This window comes from Homo sapiens, chromosome 10 (genome assembly GCF_000001405.40).
Source record: "Homo sapiens chromosome 10, GRCh38.p14 Primary Assembly".
Lineage (NCBI taxonomy): Eukaryota > Metazoa > Chordata > Mammalia > Primates > Hominidae > Homo > Homo sapiens.
In genome coordinates this window covers 32,322,757-32,341,128 of record NC_000010.11, presented here as the reverse complement: position 1 = coordinate 32,341,128, position 18,372 = coordinate 32,322,757, and the positions used below count along the sequence as shown (strand labels likewise).

Below are 18,372 nucleotides of genomic sequence, written 5' to 3'. Positions count from 1 at the left end.
TTTGTGATTGTACTTCTTAGAAGAAGAGATGCACAAGGAAATGAGAATTTTATATTGTAATTCAGGAATAAAAAGAATTGAGCGTGTCTAAGGGCAAAAGTGATATGAAAGTATGACATACTTTCAGAGACAACTAGAGTATGTATTTACTTTTAAAGTAGACTTTTGGAACACTGAAGTGTGACTTGCATTGATAACAATAACTTTTTGGTAAGAATAAACCAAATTCTGAGAAATCAATGAGAAGACAAGGGATTCAAATGTTTTAAACAACTTGCTAGAATTGCGGGTTTTTTTTTGAGTCAAAGTCTTGCTCTGTCACCCAGGCTGGAGAGCAGTGACACGATCATAGCTCACTGCAGCTGCAGCCTCAACCTCCCTAGCTCAAGCAGTCCTCTCACCTCAGCCTTACAAGTAGCTGAGACTACAGGTACACACCACCACGCCTAATTTTTTCTATTTTTATTTTTAAATATTCACCATGTTGCCTGGGCTGTTCTCAAACTCTTGGGCTCAAGTGATCCACCCACCTTGGTCTCCCAAAGTGCTGAGATTATAGGCGAGAACCACTGCACCTGGCCCTAGAATTGCTTTTAATTTATTGATGCTAACTGTTGCCTTCAACACATTTATAAACTGTAGAAAATCTTTCTTGATTAGGTGTATTAAATCCTGTAATAATAGGTAGTGATTTTGAGTTCTTACAGTATTTTAAATATAGTGGACACTCAACTTTGCACCTTTAAATATATGAAGTGAATTCCATCTACCAACCCTGCTGTAATAGGTATATGAAAAACAAAAGCAAACTTGCTGTACTTATTACATCTACTATAATATGTTATCTGAGGTGTAGCTTTGATCAATGCAGATACAATCAATTTTTTAAAAGATAAAGCCCTCCCTCAAGTATTTGTTGTAATGGAGGTTATCTTTAAAGTTTTGGTTCAGTTTTTGGATATGTGTTGTGATAATCACTTGCTGAATTGCAAAGCAGATTATTTAAGCAAATCGTTTTGGTTGAATTTCCCTCAGTATAGCAAGTACTGACTGAAGAAATTGGATGTGACCTTAGAGTGAATCTAGGGGCAAACATGACCTGAGGTTTAAAATGTCCTGTGAATGATTTAATATAGGTTCTAATCTTTTTATATATTGGGATGAACTATTTTGATAATGTAGCAATTGTATATCCTCTGAGCATCCAAATAGCAATTGTGTATCCTAAGGAAACTTTCCCTACCTTGATTTTGTATCCATTGACAAGTCACTTAACGTCACTGAAAGAACTTTAGTCTCTGCATTTCTTAAGTCTTCTGAGCTACCTTACAAAATAGCTCTGAGGAGTGAATAAGGCAGTGTATGAAAAATCATGTACAGATGAATTTCATTATTACCAAACACTAATAGAATTTTTAGAACGGCCTTGCTTTTTGTTCTCAGAAGATACTTAACATTATATTTTGTATTTGGGATTGTGTGACATAAAAGTGTTAGATGTATTTTGTGTCCTTAGAGAGTTGTATGATATGATTGTGAAAAACTATGTATTTTAACTTAGGTTGTTATTATTATTATTACTATTGAGAGAGAGTTCACTCTGTCACCCAGGCTGGAGTGCAGTGGCATGATCTCGGCTCATTGCCACCTCCACCTCCCAGATTCAAGCGATTCTCGTGCCTCAGCCTCCTGAGTAGCTGGGGCTACAGGTGTGTGCCACCATGCCCAGCTAATTTAGGTAATTATTAATAGGAAAAAGCATCAAACTCGGAGTTACTAGATGTAAGGCCTTACTCTAGCCTCTAGCTCTGCTTCCACATGCCCCAGGTTTTCTTGACTGTAAGATGCAGTAGGCCTATGGTAGTTTCCTGTTGTAATGAGAATATTCTGTTGCCATTATATTTAAATCTGTTTCCAAAAGAATTTTATGTGTTTAGAGAATAGTCATTAAATCTTGAGTTAATCTCATTTGCATATTATGTAGACATAATTTGCATGGAAGTAAAGGTGCATGGATAGTTGGTTCCAGTTTAAGAAGGGTCAAGTTCTAAAAGCCAGTCTCTAAAGGATTTAAAGATGTAATTGGATGCAGTAGTCAGAAAATAACTTTTATTGTCATGAGAATTTGAGATTAGAGCCAGAATTTATTATTATTTTTATTATTTTATTTATTTATTTATTTATTTTTTTTGAGACAAGGTCTCCCTCTGTTGCCCAGGCTGGAGTGTAGTGGTGTGATCTCGGCTCATTGCAGCCTCAGCCTCCTGGGCTCCAGGCTCCTCCCACCTCAGCCTCCTGAGTAGCTGAAACTCCAGGAGGATGCCACCATATGTTCTTATGTGGCAGTGGAACAAGATACTACAGAATTTTAGTTAGAAGGAGAAGGATAATTTTCTTTGGGTAGGTGGTTAGGAAACATGTGGCCTGAAACTTGAGTGGTGGTAATGAGCCGTGGGAAGATCTGCATGAGGAATAATCCAGAGAGACCTACAGGTGCACAGAGCCTGAGCTGAAACAGGAGGCCATTGTACTCAGAGCAGAGTGAGCAGGGGGTTGTAGATTAGGAGATGAGGACACATACGTACTCACGATCCAGATCAGGAAGGGATTGTTAGGCTACCATGAGAAGTTTTGACTGTGTTGAAATGAAGTAAGCTATTAGCGAGTTTAAGGGAGTGACATGATCTGATTTAATGGTTTTTCAAGATTATTCTGGCTACCATGTGGAGAATGAGTCATACTGGGCAAGAGTGATGATGGTGGCTTTAAGTAGGGTTGGTGCTAGTGGAAATGAAGAGAAATGGATGGATTTGAGATATATTTTGAGGAGCCAGAACCAACAGAACTTGCTGGTGGATTTGAATGTACTAGATGGAGAGAGAGAATCCGAGGATGAACCTCCAAGTTGAGCAGCTGGATAGATGAGTGGGCCTCTTACAGGGAAGGGACAGTTAGGGGTGGGGGATGTAGAAGGGATGGACTTGTTCAGTTTGAAATGTGCCTCTTTCGTCCTGATTGGATATGTGAGAATATGCACATTAGAGCAGTTTGTGCTAGAAGTGTATAATTTGGAAGTCATGAGTTGGTCCTATAAATCTGAGAGTCTTCAGCTTATGAATCGCATGGAATGCTGTGCTCTGGGACTCAGAGGAGGAGCTACTGAAAAGATTTTCTTCATTTTTAGAATAAAAGCATCTCAAGAAGGAAGGACATTGGTTAACTATGTCCACTGAGAAGATGAAAGTATGGGAAAGTAATTTAATTAGATATGTGCCATTGGCATGTTTTGGTGGAGTGGTGAGAAGGAAAGCCCAGCTGGAGTAGAAGAAATAATAGAAGATGAAAAAGGGGACATAGCAAGTATAGTCAACTCTTTGGAATAGCTCTGCTATGAAAGAGAGAAAAAAACAGGGCTGGAGTAGCTGGAGGAGGCTCCCAGATCAGCAAATGATTTCTTTTAAAAATTAGTTACAAAGTTCCATCAGGCACAAATGAAGGAAACAAATGAAGCTGAGCCCTAGATTGACCCACTTCACTGCCTTGAGAGTTTTCAGATTGCAGCACAGGGATGGGAAATTCCAAACAGATGTGGCAGCTCCTTCAGTTGAAGAAACAGAATTCAGAGTGTGGGGAGGCCTAAGTGACTTTGGAGCAGAGTACCAGGGCTGCACAGAAAAAGAGCTCCAGATATTCACAGGGTGTCCCTTCGAGTGTCTAGCTGAAAACTGATCTGATCCTGTCCATGAGGAACTTCCAAGTCTAGGGAAAAGCAAGAGGAAAGAAAGAACAGTTTGGGAAGCTCATAGGGCTGAGACTGTGCTACACATTCCCACTAACCAGAATGGAAAGGCCTCAATACACAGCGTATCAAGTAGAACCCTCAGAAGGGTTATTGTCTCAGTAGTGAGGCCGAGGCCAGATTAGTTCTAAAGACTGTTCTGGACTTGCCCTAACAAAGATTGAGTACTAGCCTCAAAAGAATCAAACTAAATTTCAAGTAACTTGATTGTGTCCCAGAACAAAGGCCAAAAATGTTTAAAGGAATATTTAGAGATCCTGCAACATAAAGCTCAGTGTTTAGCATCCAATAAAAAATTATCAGGCATTTAAAGAAGCTGGAAAATATGGCCCATAATTAGGGAAAAAATTAACAGAGACATAGAAATAACCCAGGTAATCAAATTAGATTAAAATGTTAAAGCTACAAATAAAAGCAAGAATTACTAGAACTTGTAGAATTATTTCATTTGAAAAGTATGAAATAATCCCATCCTCTCTCCTACTCAAGGACTTCACTCCTAATAACTATTTTATGTCTCTCCTGGATCCATTTAATGGAGATATTGGTTACTAATTCCAACAGGAACTTTTTTTTTTCCTTTGTGAAAGGAAGGCAGATAAATGAGAAAAGATGCATGTCAGTCGTTAAGAGTTGATTATGACAGGATGAGGTAGTTTATCCTATGGTTGTATTTTCTCTATGAGGTATGAGTGAGGTCATCACCTCAAGAGTGAGGGAGAACCTTCAGAGATGAGGTAGGTATAGGAGAGCTAACTTAGAAAAATGTAAAAGGATTGATAGACTTGCTGAGGGCTCAATATTTGTGATCATTTAAAGTGAGACCAGTCAGCTCACTTGGGCAGTAGCATTCACTTGAGTTCCAGCACAAAGTAGGTAGATAGGGTTTGTCAAGGGTCAATGTTTGGCCAGCAAGTAGAAAGGAGGAAGACAGGGATGAAGGCATTAAAAATTAGGTAGTAGGCCGGGCACGGTGGCTCACACCTGTAATCCCAGCACTTTGAGAAGCCGAGGCAGGTGGATCACGAGCTCAGGAGTTCGAGACCAGCCTGGCCAACATGGTGAAACCCAGTCTCTACTAAAAATAACAAAAATTAACTGGACATGGCGGCAGACGCCTGTAATCCCAGCTACTCCAGAGGCTGATGCAGGAGAATTGCTTGAACCTGGGAGGTGGGAGTTGCAGTGAGCCGAGATCGTGCCATTGCACTCCAGCCTGGACAATAAGAGCAAAACTCCGTCTCAAAAAAAAAAAAAAAAAAGAAAAGGTAGTAGATTATCATGATGGACCATGGAATCTAAGCTGGGTAAGCAGGGAAAGAAGACATCCGGGAGCTGATGAATGGTAGAAAAGTGGTAGGACTCAATTGGGATGGAAGGCTCTGTGGAATTGATTTGTTACATTGGGAGTGCTTGAGTGAGTGAAACCAAGTCGGGAGGGTGGTGGCTAAAGAGGGACACGCTTGAGTTTAAACTTCAGAGGTGGCACAATTATTAGTGAACGCAAAATCTAGAGTATAACCATAGGAGTGGTGGCTGAGATGGAGTAGAGGAAAAGATCAGCGTGGGCGAGAAGGTCATGCTATTTCATCATTATCCATGTAAATTCTGTCATTAAAAATGATGCCAGAAGTGTGGTAGTTGAGAAAACAGCACTGTGACTGTGACTTAAAGAGTGTATATGACAGCTTTAGGGAGAGAGTGATGCTGTGAACTTCTGAGTGGTTGTGTTTTTTTGAAGGGACAACAAAGAAGAAATGGGATAGAACTGGCAATGGGAAGCAAGGAGAGTGGGTGTGTATGCCATCCACAAGTCTGTGGCATATGGGAAAATAAACAGCTTCTGCTTGAAAGGGCGATGGGGAGTATTGTTTCTGGAATACACTGCCAGGCTTCAGTTAGGGCAAGATGAGGGATCACTGAAAGAAGTTGAGAATGAATGTAAAGAAGAGTTTGCTGATACATCTTTAGTCTAGACAACAGAGTGGAAGACTTTGAGACAGTCAGGAAGGGTGGAAGATTGGGACAGATTAGGAGACACTGAGATTAGAATGGTGATGAGAGCCAGGGTGGTACTGTTATGTCTTGGACTCTGTTGATAATGGTTACAAAGAATGATGGGATTTATCCAGCCAACCTCAAGTGAGCAAACAATACAAGATAACCCTCCTGCTAGATATTCTAAACTGTAGAGGACCATTCTTGCAGCTAGAAGTGGTATGATAGCCTCAAGGAAGGGCAGCTCCACTAAGTAGAAAGTGATGACCGCTTGAACTCCAAGGAGTACCTATCATTCCTGCTGCACAATTGTATAAATATCTTCACAATGAAGGATTTTTGTACAGCACGGTTGTTTCAGGGCTCAGAAAATGGACCTTTAAGGGTTGTATTGAGTATCTCAGACTTCTCCTTCCTTTGCAGTGGTTCTCAACAAGGGCTGTATCATTCTCCCACTATGGAGACATTCTGGAAATTTGTGGGGGTGCTTTGGATTGTCAGTTATTGGGAGATGCTGTTGATATTAATTAAAAATAAGAGGGGGCCTAGTAATGACATAAACCCCACCTTACAAAACACAGTCTCACAGGATGACTTTTGACTATCCCAGAGAACATTCCAGCAGATAAAATTACAATTTATAAATTATCTGAGTCTAGGACCTAATTTAATTTTACATGTGAAGTGTACAGTTTTAATATACAGTAGACTTTCCAGAAAAGCAGCTAGTGTATAAAGAGGATGTTGTACTTTTTTTGTTCAGAACTTTTGCAGGAGTTCTTATTGTTCGAAAGTCACTTCATTGACATCACCATTTGTGGTATATGAGTCAATAGCATATACCTGTATAAAGTGTGATTTTTTTTTTTTTTTTTAGCTGTTATATTCAAAAGTCTTATCCTATCACAGCTCAAAGTCTAGAATCTCATCTAAGTTAGATTCAGGTACAGTTGGGACTTCTTGGATGTTCCTTAAGTACAGCTTCTCAAGTACAATTCCTGCTGACCTGTAAAGCCAAAGCGATATGTTACCTGGTCCTCATCCTTTCTCCAGACACTTGCCAAATATACAGTATTGGGTCAGGCTTAAGGTAACCTCTATAAAACATTCCTATCAAAGCGGGGGGCGGGTGCCAAGAGATAGTAGGCACAAGGGAATCCCTGGTCTGTAACAATTCTGAAATCCAATCAGCCAATCCTTAGGTGAGTCTCAATTCCTAGGTGTAATTCACCCCTGCTCTCAGCTTTGCCCTTTGGGCATGTGGTTGTTTCTCCACAGTCGCCTTTCCCCATGAAAGGTAGTACATGTTTGTTTGCAACTGACTAGTTTTCTTATCTTGCTTTCTACCACAATTTGGGGCCTCTGAAGGCTTCATTTTCCATCTGTTGTCTCTTTCAGTTCAAGCTGGCAGTGTTTCACCATATGTAAGTATTTTTTAAAACTTTGTGCATCTTTTGTGAATCCTTTTGGGGTCAATCTATTAGTTGAAAATCATATGCACAAATTTATTTGAGATACGCCCGTTACTACCTTGAGCTTTTACTGAGAGACAACACCCTTCTCGTAAAGCCTTATTGTCTGACTGAGATACACTGTGAAGTGCAAAATTCTAGCAGGGCTTTTGTCTGACAAAGTAGTATTCTGAGGTACTGTCTTTGGTATTTCTGAGCTCTTAACAGAAGATTTTATAGTTACTCCCATGGCTTAGTTTTTAGATCATGTTTTTCTGGCAGTGCCCTGGATTTGATCTTGGCTCAGAATGCATTTCTCAATGTTAGCATTGTTTGCAGTCTAAAGAGACTGCAAATTTTCTAAACCATCAAGTCCTTGCTCTTCAAGAGGTCTTGATTTAATTTATATCTTCTCATTTTTTGCTGTATATAGCAGAAACAGCAAGGCAGCACTTTCTAGTTGAAACTCTCCTTTGCTAAATCACTCAGTTCATTACATAAAATTTCCAGGTTTTTGTGGGGGATTTTTGTTGTTGTTTGTTTGTTTTTGAGACGAAGTCTCACTCTGTCGCCCAGGCTGTGGCACGATCTCGGCTCACTGCAACCTCCGCCTCCCAGGTTCAAGCGATTCTCCTGCCTCAACCTCCTGAGTAGCTGGGACTACAGGCGCACGCCACCATGCCCGGCTAAATTTGTATTTTTAGTAGAGACGGGGTTTCGCCATGTTAGCCAGGATGGTCTAGATCTCCTGACCTTGTGATCCACCCACCTTGGCCTCCCAAAAGTGCTGGGATTACAGGCGTGAGCCACCGCGCCCAGCCAAAATTTCTGGTTTTTATATGACCAAAGGTCACAGTGTTACTAAGCCTCCTGCCCCTTCCTAGGAAGGATACCTCCTCTTCTAGTTTCCAATAACATCTACCTCACTTTTCTATTCTCCTTGTAGCCTTATGAAATACCATGAGACTTTTTAAAAACAGCTTCTTAACTAAACTATCCTTAAGAGCCATGGTCTGTTTCCAAAGCCAATCCAACATTGCAGTGTTCTGTTATAGCAGTGAGGACTCCCAGTATCAACATGTATTACTTATCTATTACTATGTAACTAATTACCCTAAATGTAGCAGTTTAAAACAACAAACATTTGTAATCTTACAGTTTATGAGGATCAGGAATCCAGGGGCAACATCTGTTGGGTGGTTCTGACCTGTGTCTGCATAAAAGCTGTTCAGGATTGCAGTCAGCTGCAGCCCTGCTTCCAGTCTTGCTCACATTGTTGGCTGGAGGCTTCTGTCCCAGTTCTCTCTACTACCTGTGTGTCTTCACAGAACAAATGACTCGAGAGAGTGTGTACCAAGTGGTAAGACAGCACGCAAGTCTTTTATCACCCAATCTTAGAAGTGACGTACTATCACTTCTGCCATGTGCTGTTGGTCACACAGACCAACCCTTGTTCACTGTGGGAGGGGACTACCCAAGGGTATGAACACCAGTCATCCTGCAGGCTGGCTACCACAAGCCCTCTGCTCAGTGAACTGAACTATACTGTGCTTCATGCTCTCTCAGTGGGCCATGCTGTCTCTTACTTCTGCCTTTACTTATACTGTCCTTTACCCCAAATGCTTTTCCTTTCCTCTATCTGTTCAACAAACCTGTTTGCTGTCAACTGTTATGAAGCCTTTCCAAGCCCTAACACAGCACTTTTGGAAAACAGATTCATTTATGATTGTTTCCTTTGCAACAAACCCTTTGAAAGCAAAAACTATTTTATCTTAAAGGCGTAATATTGCACTAGCACAAGTGTTTCTTGAATTAGTGTTTAAATAGTTCTGGAAAAATCTAGGTAGTCAATGATAACTTTGTATTCTAAAATGGCAATCAGATACCTGTTTTGTGTTTTTCTGCCTTTGAGCTTTTGGAATGAGACTAATAAAGTAAGATTTAAGCTGTGCTTTATGGGAAGGACATGAGACATTTTAATAAACCAAAATTTTAAGCCAGAGAAAATGTTAAGGCCTCCCCCAAAATGTTTTGTGAAATGCTGTGCTTAGGCTACTTGTACATCATGTTGACTTATGAGATGACTTACTCATCAAACACTTATAAACTTATGTTTACAAAGTATAATGCTAAATACTGTAGAATTTACAAACATGTCTTATCTTGAAGGGACTTATAATTCACATGGTAAATAAAACAATCTGAGGTAGTCTTTTTTAAAGTCCCTGTTGTAAATATTAAAATACTTATTTTTACTTTGGATAGTTTATATGTTATCTCTAAGTCTAATAAAACTGCGTAAACCAACTTGTAATATTAAGTTCTGGAGAAGTCATCTATTTTTTTTTCATTTGAAGTAAATGTAAGTACGATAGATGATATAAAATCAAAACCAGTTATTTTACTCTATAAACTTTTGTATATTAAAATTTCTTCTCTCTAATCTGAAAGTTTTGAAAATGAAGATTTTAGTTGTAGTTACCATATTACCTGCCTTAAAGTTTTCTTTTCTTTTTTTTTTTTCTTTTGAGATGGAGTTTTGCTGTTTTTGCCCAGGCTGGAGTGCAATGGTGCTATCTTGGCTCACTGCAACCTCTGCCTCCCGGGTTCAAGCACTTCTCCTGCCTCAGCCTCCCAAGTAGCTGGAATTACAGGCACCCACCACCATGCCCAGTTAATTAAAGTTTCCTTTTCATTTACCATAATGGAATCTTGACACTAAATATGAGACTTCTATATGGATTTTTTCCCTTTGTGAATGTTTCTTTGTAATGCAATTTAAAAGAAAATAGCAGTCTTTTTTTCTGTATACCCTGAAATATACAGAAAAAATAATATACCTTGATTCATTTGTCTTGGAATTTTCTCTACACTATTTTAAAGCATTCATTAAGTTTTATTTCATCTTACGTTCGAACTTTTACACTGTGATTTTGTACAATACACACGAGATCAGACATTCTAACTTTTGTAGTGATGGAGCAAACATTTTGTTCCGCTTTTTTGGAGATGCTTTTTTTTCTGGCCTTTATATTTTTATGACTGGGGTTTTTTTCCCATAAAATTTCTCAGTTGAACCTTAATTCTTGTTCATATCTAAAACTATTTCTCAAGGATGCGTAGTACTTTGTATCATTAGCAAGAAACCAATTAATACCTATAATAATGTTCCTTTATTTGGGGGCCTAACTACCTTAAATCCTTTCTGGAATCTTAAATTTGAATAAAATCTGGGATTTCTAAGATTTGGATCCAGGATTTTTCACTAAGCAGCCTACCTTATCAATTGGGAAATAATGGAATATAATCCAGTGTGTTTGATTACTAAATAAAGTGGCATGAAACAAGATGACCACCCATCCCTAATACATGTGTGTCTTCTAAAACGATTGCTGGGGCTGTTGGAAAGGCATACTTGTGATGTAAATGCTGTTTTCTGTAAGCTAGCTGTAACAAATGGGTGTGGGCTGCCCTTCCACTCAGCTTAATGTATTCAGACTGACCGTGAATCCAGTGGAGAAATTGGAGAACTAGGATGAAGGTGTAGACAGGCTAGCAAAAGTTTAAAATAAGTTCCAAATATTTCAGATGTTATTGTCTCTATTGCTACTTCCATAATTCAAGGTATTGCCATCTCTTGCCTAAATTTAAGTAGCTTCCTCACTGGTCCTCCCAAGACTATAATTGCTGCCTCCCCAGTATTCTTAATACAACCAGTGGCCCTTTGAAAAAGGAAATCTCATTGTGTCACTCTTGCTAAAAACCTATGAAGAGTTCCCATTGTTTTCAAAGTGGCATTATATACTAGGCTTTATGTAATCTGGCTCCTATGTCCTTTTAGTACCTCCAAAGCCTTCAAATTCACTTCAGCCACAGAATCATTTCTCATTTATTCTCATGCACTGAAACACCATTCCCCTGTGGGTTGGTTTAGTAATCTCCCACAGATCCTTCAGATCTCAGCTCAAGGTCACTTCCTTAGGTATCCACTCATTATGACAGGACTGTCACAGGCTCTCATAATATCATCTTTCATGGCAATTACTGCTGTAAATTTCCATTTTATTTATGTAGTTATTTGGTTATAGTCTCACCACATGACTCTTAAGCTCCAAGTACCTCTAGCATTGGAGCTTAATGCCTCTGTAATTTTTTTAATAAATGACTGGATTGGCTTATTGTTAATTTATTCATGTGTTTCTAGTTTAGTCTATCCCAGAGCTATGTTTAGAGATTAGAAGGGACATAACTCCTATTGTAATTTAGAGTTATATGAAGATAATGATGGTTCCAGCAGAGTCTACCCTGTGGTTACTATGTGATTAGACAAGTAGCTTAACTGCTAGCCCTCATTTTTATCATTAATAGAGAAAACTTGAAATAGATTATCTGTGTGCTTGCCTCTTACTTGAATGTTCAATTGAGTTTAAGGGTTTCCCTCCATTTATTAGGATAGGTATGGTTGGGCTATAAACATAACAATCCCAAAATCTTAGTGGCTTTGCAACAAAGTTCTGTTTTTAGCATTGCACTATCCATTGGGTTGATTTGGGGGTTCTGTACTATGTGGCCTCACTCCAGGATGCAGACAGGCAGAGCAGCCTTTATCCTGAACATTGTGTACACTGCAGTGGAGGAAAGAGAGCGCTGGAAATGTCTGTCTTTGCATCAGCTGTTAAGATGCTCTGGCCAGAAGTTACATGCCACTTTTGCTCACAGCTCATTGGCCAGAACAAGAAACATAGCTGCATCTAATCATAAAGGAGCCAGGAGGTACAATCTTGTCATATGACCAAAAGGCAGAAACAACCACATTAACAAGTAGGCCAAGGTTTGGCTTACCCTTCTTCTCACAGAGAAAATACACTCCTCTCCCCCGGCGAAGCCAGCTCAGAAGTCCCAAGTAATGATTGCATCAAACTTAAGAGTTTCCAGGTGATACGCATAATTCTGTATATCAGACCTGTATGTGTTTCCTTGACCTGGAGAACTGTGAACAAAAATGTTACCTGCAACCACCTTCCTGCCACACCCAATATACGTTGAAATAACAGGGACAGGATAACCCCAATAAGCACTTCCATGTGTATAACAGAACATTAGAGGAGCACTGCAGTCCCCATCCCACCGCCATTCAGAAATCCCCCCACAGCCCCGTGTGACAAGGGCTGGCTTACCCTAGATATGGAGAGTGTGCTGGTTTCAGCACTAGGTCTGCTCCCTGGTGGGGAACTCCCCAGGCCATTGTTTTTTGTGGCTGTTGGCACTGATATCTAGGAGATTGATTCCTCCTTTTCCATCATCTTCCTTAGCCTCATCTGAAGTAGTCATTGGAAAATATGCCCTCATTGGGAGCTAAAACCCTTGACAACCTGCTTCCTATAGAAAGTTGGAGACTTAAGCATACTTTTAAATCAGGTTTTTAATTCAGGCTCTGGGTTGTTTGTTGGTAGCACAACTGTGCAAGCTTGTAATGTGTCTAAAAACACGTTTCCATTCAGCTCATATGCCAGTGTTCTTTACCAGATGTATGTCTTATAAACGCTGCTACCGGTAACCTGTTGGGCTCTGTGTGTGTGTATTTATGTGTCTTTTTCTTTTCCTCAGAGCATTTTATTCAACTGAGAGCATTAATTGGGTGTCACAATTTTAATTGGATCTCTGCTCTGAGACTCTTCTCTTTAACCCGTTCAGATGTTTTAACAGTGAATATGATGCTCATACTCTTGATTTGATTTGATACTCTTCCTTTGTTGCTCAAAGCCTTTGGTGGTTTTTAAACTTATGGCTTGGGGTTGAGAAATCTTTTCTTCCAACTGTGCAAGCCTCCCCATTTTGGGGCCCTCTTCCTTTTATTCCTGCTTACAAACTCTGGTCAATTTTAAAATTTGTTTCTTTCTTGCAATACCAAACACAGTCAAAACAACCAACATACCATTTTAATGTTAGGGTTTTTAAAATTGGCACGTAGTGATCATACATACATTTATGTTCTGCATAGTGACGTTTCAGTCAACAGATCACAGACATGACTCTGGTGTCCCCCAAAGTTATAATACCATATTCTTACTGTACCTTTTCCATGTTTAGATATGCTTAGATCCACAAATACTTTTTTGTGTTACAACTCCCTACAGTAATCAGTACAGTAACATACGATACAGGTTAGTAGTCTGTAAGCTATACCATATAGCCTAGGTATGTAGTAAGCTACACCATCTAAGTTTTAAGTAAAATCTATAGTGTTTGCATGATACAGTCACCTAATGATGCATTTCTCAGAACACATTCCCATTATTAAGCAACACTTGGCTATATTTATGGAGTAATGTTCTATACATGTGTACACTGTGTAATGACCAGATCATGGCAATTAACATAGCCATGACCTTAAGCATTTATCATTTCTTTGTTGTGAGAACACTCACAATCCTTTCTTCTGGCTATTTTGAAACATATAATGTGCTGTCGTTAGCAATAGTCACTCTACTGTCCAATAGAGTACCAGAACTTACTCCTATCTGACTGTAAATTGTACCCCTTGACCAACTTCTTCCTGTTTCCCGTCCCTCCTGATATCCCCAGTCTCTGGAAAACACTGTTCTTCCCTCAACTTCTATGAGTTGTTGTTTTGTTTTGTTGAGATTTCACATATGAATGAGATCATGTGATATTTATCTTTCTATGTCTGGTTTATCTCACTTTAACATAGTATCTCCTAGGCTCATCTGTGTTGTAGCAAATGACAGAATTTCATCCTTTTTTGTAGCTGAATATTATTCCATTGTGAGTGTGTGTGTGTGTGTGTGTGTGTGTGTCACCACATTTTCTTCATTCATCTATTGATGGTAATTTACATTGATTTTTTTTTTTTTTTTTTTTTGAGGACCCTCTCCATGCTGTTTTCTGTAATGGCTGTACTGATTTACGTTCCCACTGACAGTGTGTGAGAGTTCTTTTTTTCTCTGCATCCTCACCAGCATTTGTTACTTTTTGTCTTTCTAATAGACGTTCTCACTTGAGTGAGGTGAAATTTTATTGTGGTGTCGATTTGCATTTTCCTGATGGTTAGTCATGATGAGCATTTTTTCCTATACCTGTTAGGAAATGTCCAGTTTTTTTAACCTCTTCCTCTAGAGCTGTAGGTTTATTAAATACATTATCTGCTTTTCAAGTTATTATAACTGACTTTTACCAAATATTTTGTACTGCTTGTTAAGGATTGCCATCCTTCTAGCCTCTGAGAAGTTTCCTTGCTGCCTGGCCTTCAAGCCAGTGGCATATATTTTAGTTTTTTTTGTTATAATAGTACCCTATCTCCAGGTACCAATTTATATTTGTTAGGATGGACTAGGATATGCTGTGATAACCAAGAACCTCAAAATCTTAGTGGCATAAAATACGCAAAGTTTTTTTTCTTATTCTTGTCACATTTTGGATCATTGTCCTGGATCAGCAGGGGAACCAGGGTGATACAGCAGTAAACATCTCAAGCCTGGCGACAGGTGGAAGAGTGCATTGAAAGATTTCACATCTTTCACTGACAGTTAAATGCCATGGTTCAGAAGTCATATAGGTCACTTTGACTTACAATTGGCCAGAATTAGGCACCTAACCCCTCCCAGCCACACGACAGCCAGAAAGTACAATCATACCAGAAATTTTGATGAACAACTCTAAAGACTTAACCCTTTCAGTATTCGTTTTTGTGTATTGGAAGAGGAAGGATAAGGAAGTAGGGATATTGTAGGTTCTGTCCTACAACTCCTTGCAGTGTGTTAACTGTACTTTTGTTTTTTGGAGATCTTTGAGAAGACAGATAAGAGGTATAAATTCATCAAGCCATGTTTCATCTGTCCTGAGTTTAAGGTCTTTATCCTTCTTCCTACTATTAAAAAGTAAGTTTTGCATTCTAACCATGATTTGGTCAGACTTTAACATAAAGACCTCATTTACTTACTGGAAGGCATACTGTAGTTGATATTGTCAGACTGAAATAAATTCCTAATTAAGTACAAGTGTTGTAACACCAGTCCTCTGCTACCATTTATCACTGGAAAAAGTTAATTTGCCTTTATAGAGTTAAAAAAAAAACACCAAAAAACCGGCAGTGTCTGCCACAGTTTGCTTCTTTGAAATGAGATTGTGATTACTCTTTTTTTGCCTACATTTGGAAGAATCAGCCTTTCATTCTAACCAAATTTAATGCATGATACAAACTTTTAGTATGGTTTACTTAATATTTTTGTAGGGAACATCTTAAATATTATCTGGAAACTTTACTTGATGTATTTTATCTCCTTCCACTCTGAAATAAGGGAATTTGTGTGATGTTTATATTAGCCTCAGAACCTTTACAAGAAAAGATAAAATTTTCCTTCTTTTATGTCACGTTTTGCAACCATTAGCCCCTTCCTGTGGAAATTAAAGTTGTTAGGAATTTTCTCTTGTTTCCATAGGAAAGAAGAAACCAGATTTATTTAACATAGCATTAAGCTTTAAAAATGATCCAGTGAGTTATCTCATATCCATTGTGGGGTGAGGTATGTGTTGTAAATAATCTTTGAAATGAATTATTGCTATTAATTAGAAAAGCTGTAAAAACAAGGCTTCCCTGTGATGGTAATACACACTTTTCTTTTTTAATTTTGTTTTGTGTTTTACAGTGTGTAGAGAGATCTCATTCTCTTGTACAAGTTGAAGTTTCTGACTATACTCAATATAGTATAGTGCTTGAATTTATCATAAAACGTCCTTAAGTTCTACAGTGAGAATTGATTATGTTCATAGGTTGACACTTGTTTTGTTAACAGTGACAGTCTGCAGCTAAAAATTAATTCAAGGTTTTATTTATTTATTTTTATTTATTTATTTTTCTTTTGAGACAGAGTCTCACTCTGTCGCCCTGGCTGGAGAGCAGTGGCAGGATCTCTGCTCACTGCAACGTCAGTTACCTGGGTTCTGCAGGTTTGCCATTTTCCTGCCTCAGCCTCGCAAGTGGCTGGGACTACAGGCTCCAGCCACCACGCCCAGCTAATTTTTTGTATTTTTCGTGGAGACGGGGTTTCACCGTGTTAGCCAGGATGGTCTCAATCTCCTGACCTCGTGATCCGCCGACCTCGGCCTCCCAAAGTGCTGGGATTACAGTCTTGAGCCACCGCGCCCGGCTAAAATGTGTTCTTGTTTGTTTGTTTGTTTGTTTGTTTTTTAAGATTAGTAGGAGAAAGAATATCTTTTAAGAAAACACAAGGTAAATTTGGAACTAAAGTTTTAAAAATTTATCTACTTATTTATTAAGTAAATAAGAGTAAGATTTATTAGAGTAACTTTTTTTTTTTTTGTCTTTTTTGAGACAGAGTGTCTCACTCTGTAGCCCAGGCTGGATTGCAGTGGCACAATCTCGGCTCACTGCAGCCTGGCATCTCGAGTTCAAGCGATTCTTCTGCCTCAGCCTCCTGAGTAGCTGGGATTATAGGCACCCGCCACCACGCAGAGACGGGTTTCACTACGTTGGCCAGGCTGGTCTGGAACTCCTGACCTCAGGCGATCCACCCGCCTTGGCCTCCCAAAGTGCTGGGATTACAGGCGTGAACCACATGCCCAGCCTAGAGTAACTATTAAGCTTATTTATTAAAGAATAACTAGGCCGGGCGCAGTGGCTCACGCCTGTAATCCCAGCACTTTGGGAGGCTGAGGTGGGCGGATCACGAGGTTAGGAGGTCCAGACCATCCTGGCTAACATGGTGAAACCCTGTTTTTACTAAAAAATACAAAAAAATTAGCCAGGCGTGGTGGCGGGCGCCTGTAGTCCCAGCCACTTGGGAGGCTGAAGCAGGAGAATGACGTGAACCTAGGAGGCGGAGCTTGCAGTGAGCCGAGATCGCGCCACTGCTCTCCAGCCTGGGCGACAGAGCGAGACTCTGTCTCAAAAAAATAAAAATAAAATAAACTATTTCTAATAACAATTTAGGCCATTAATTATTATAATTTGCCTATTAGAATAATAAATGCACCAGGACTTTATGGACGTATGTTTATTTAATCCTCATGGCAACATTTGAAGTTAGGTGGCATTTTCTGTGCTTTATCAGTAAAGAAACAGGTTGATTTCATTAGTCAGAGAGCTAATATGTGTATGCTAGGGACCATGCTAAGAGGTTTATGTCCATTTGTTGTTTCAGTTTTTTCTTATAATGGCAATTACGTGATTTTACTAATAAGGAAATTTGGTTTAGAAAAGTCAAGTCACAATTAGTAAACAGCAGACTTGGAATTCCAATTCAGATTTCTGATCATTGTGTGCTGTTGAATAGTATCATATCTTTTATATACTTAGATACCTTCCTATTTGATAAGACTCATCTAATGAAATCAGAAACTTTGTTTCCTTACACCATGTTATACAATATAGAAGAAAAGAATTTATGGTATCAAATAATATTAAATTAGAAATTATGAAATACTGCTGTGGTAATTATAAATAAAAGGGGGTAAGCTTGAACAAACATAAAATACACATATTTGAACAAGAAAGTTTTGAGATTGTCAAAGTCCCTTTTATTTTTTAACCAGTCCAGGAAGACACTACTTCTATTACAAATATCAGAAATTACACTGGGGGGGATTTTGTGGTTTTGGCGAAACTTAGGGACTCGGTGAAAAGGAAGAAAAACCTGTAAGATTATTTTTAGTTTTAGTCTGAAGTGAATAAGAAGAAGTACATTGTATATACTTCTCTTTTTAAAAAAATTATGGATACATAATAGTACATATTTACAGGGTACATGTGATATTTTGATACAAGCATACAATGTGTAATGATCAAATCAGGGTAATTTGAGTATACATCACCTCAAGCATTTATCATTTATTTGTGTTAGGAACATTCCAGTTCCACTCATTTAGTTGTTTTGAAATATACAATAAATCATGGTTTTTTTAAAAAAAATGGTCTCTTTATTGTGCTGCCAAACCCTACATCTTATTCCATCTAACTGTGTTTTTGTACCCGTTAATCATCCCTTCTTTATCCCTCCCTCCCCACTACCCTTCCCAGCCTTTGGTAACCATCACTTTATTCTCTGTCTCCATGAGTTCAGTTTTTTGTTTTGGTTTGTTTTTTTA

General features: G+C 38.8%; 1 protein-coding gene across 13 annotated transcripts in view, besides 1 other annotated feature; it reads left to right on the top strand.

The window, feature by feature from the left end:
- The window catches only part of EPC1 (enhancer of polycomb 1), a 111,019-nt gene that overhangs the window by 37,641 nt on the left and 55,006 nt on the right, over window positions 1-18,372 (top strand). The gene's annotated exons all lie outside the window — the stretch shown is intronic.
- Window positions 8,593-8,732: a silencer, noted in NCBI's record as "silent region_2285". NCBI's record gives its function as "represses an Ori minimal core promoter by ATAC-STARR-seq in GM12878 lymphoblastoid cells {active_cell/tissue: GM12878}" and the evidence as "EXISTENCE:reporter gene assay evidence [ECO:0000049][PMID:35858748]".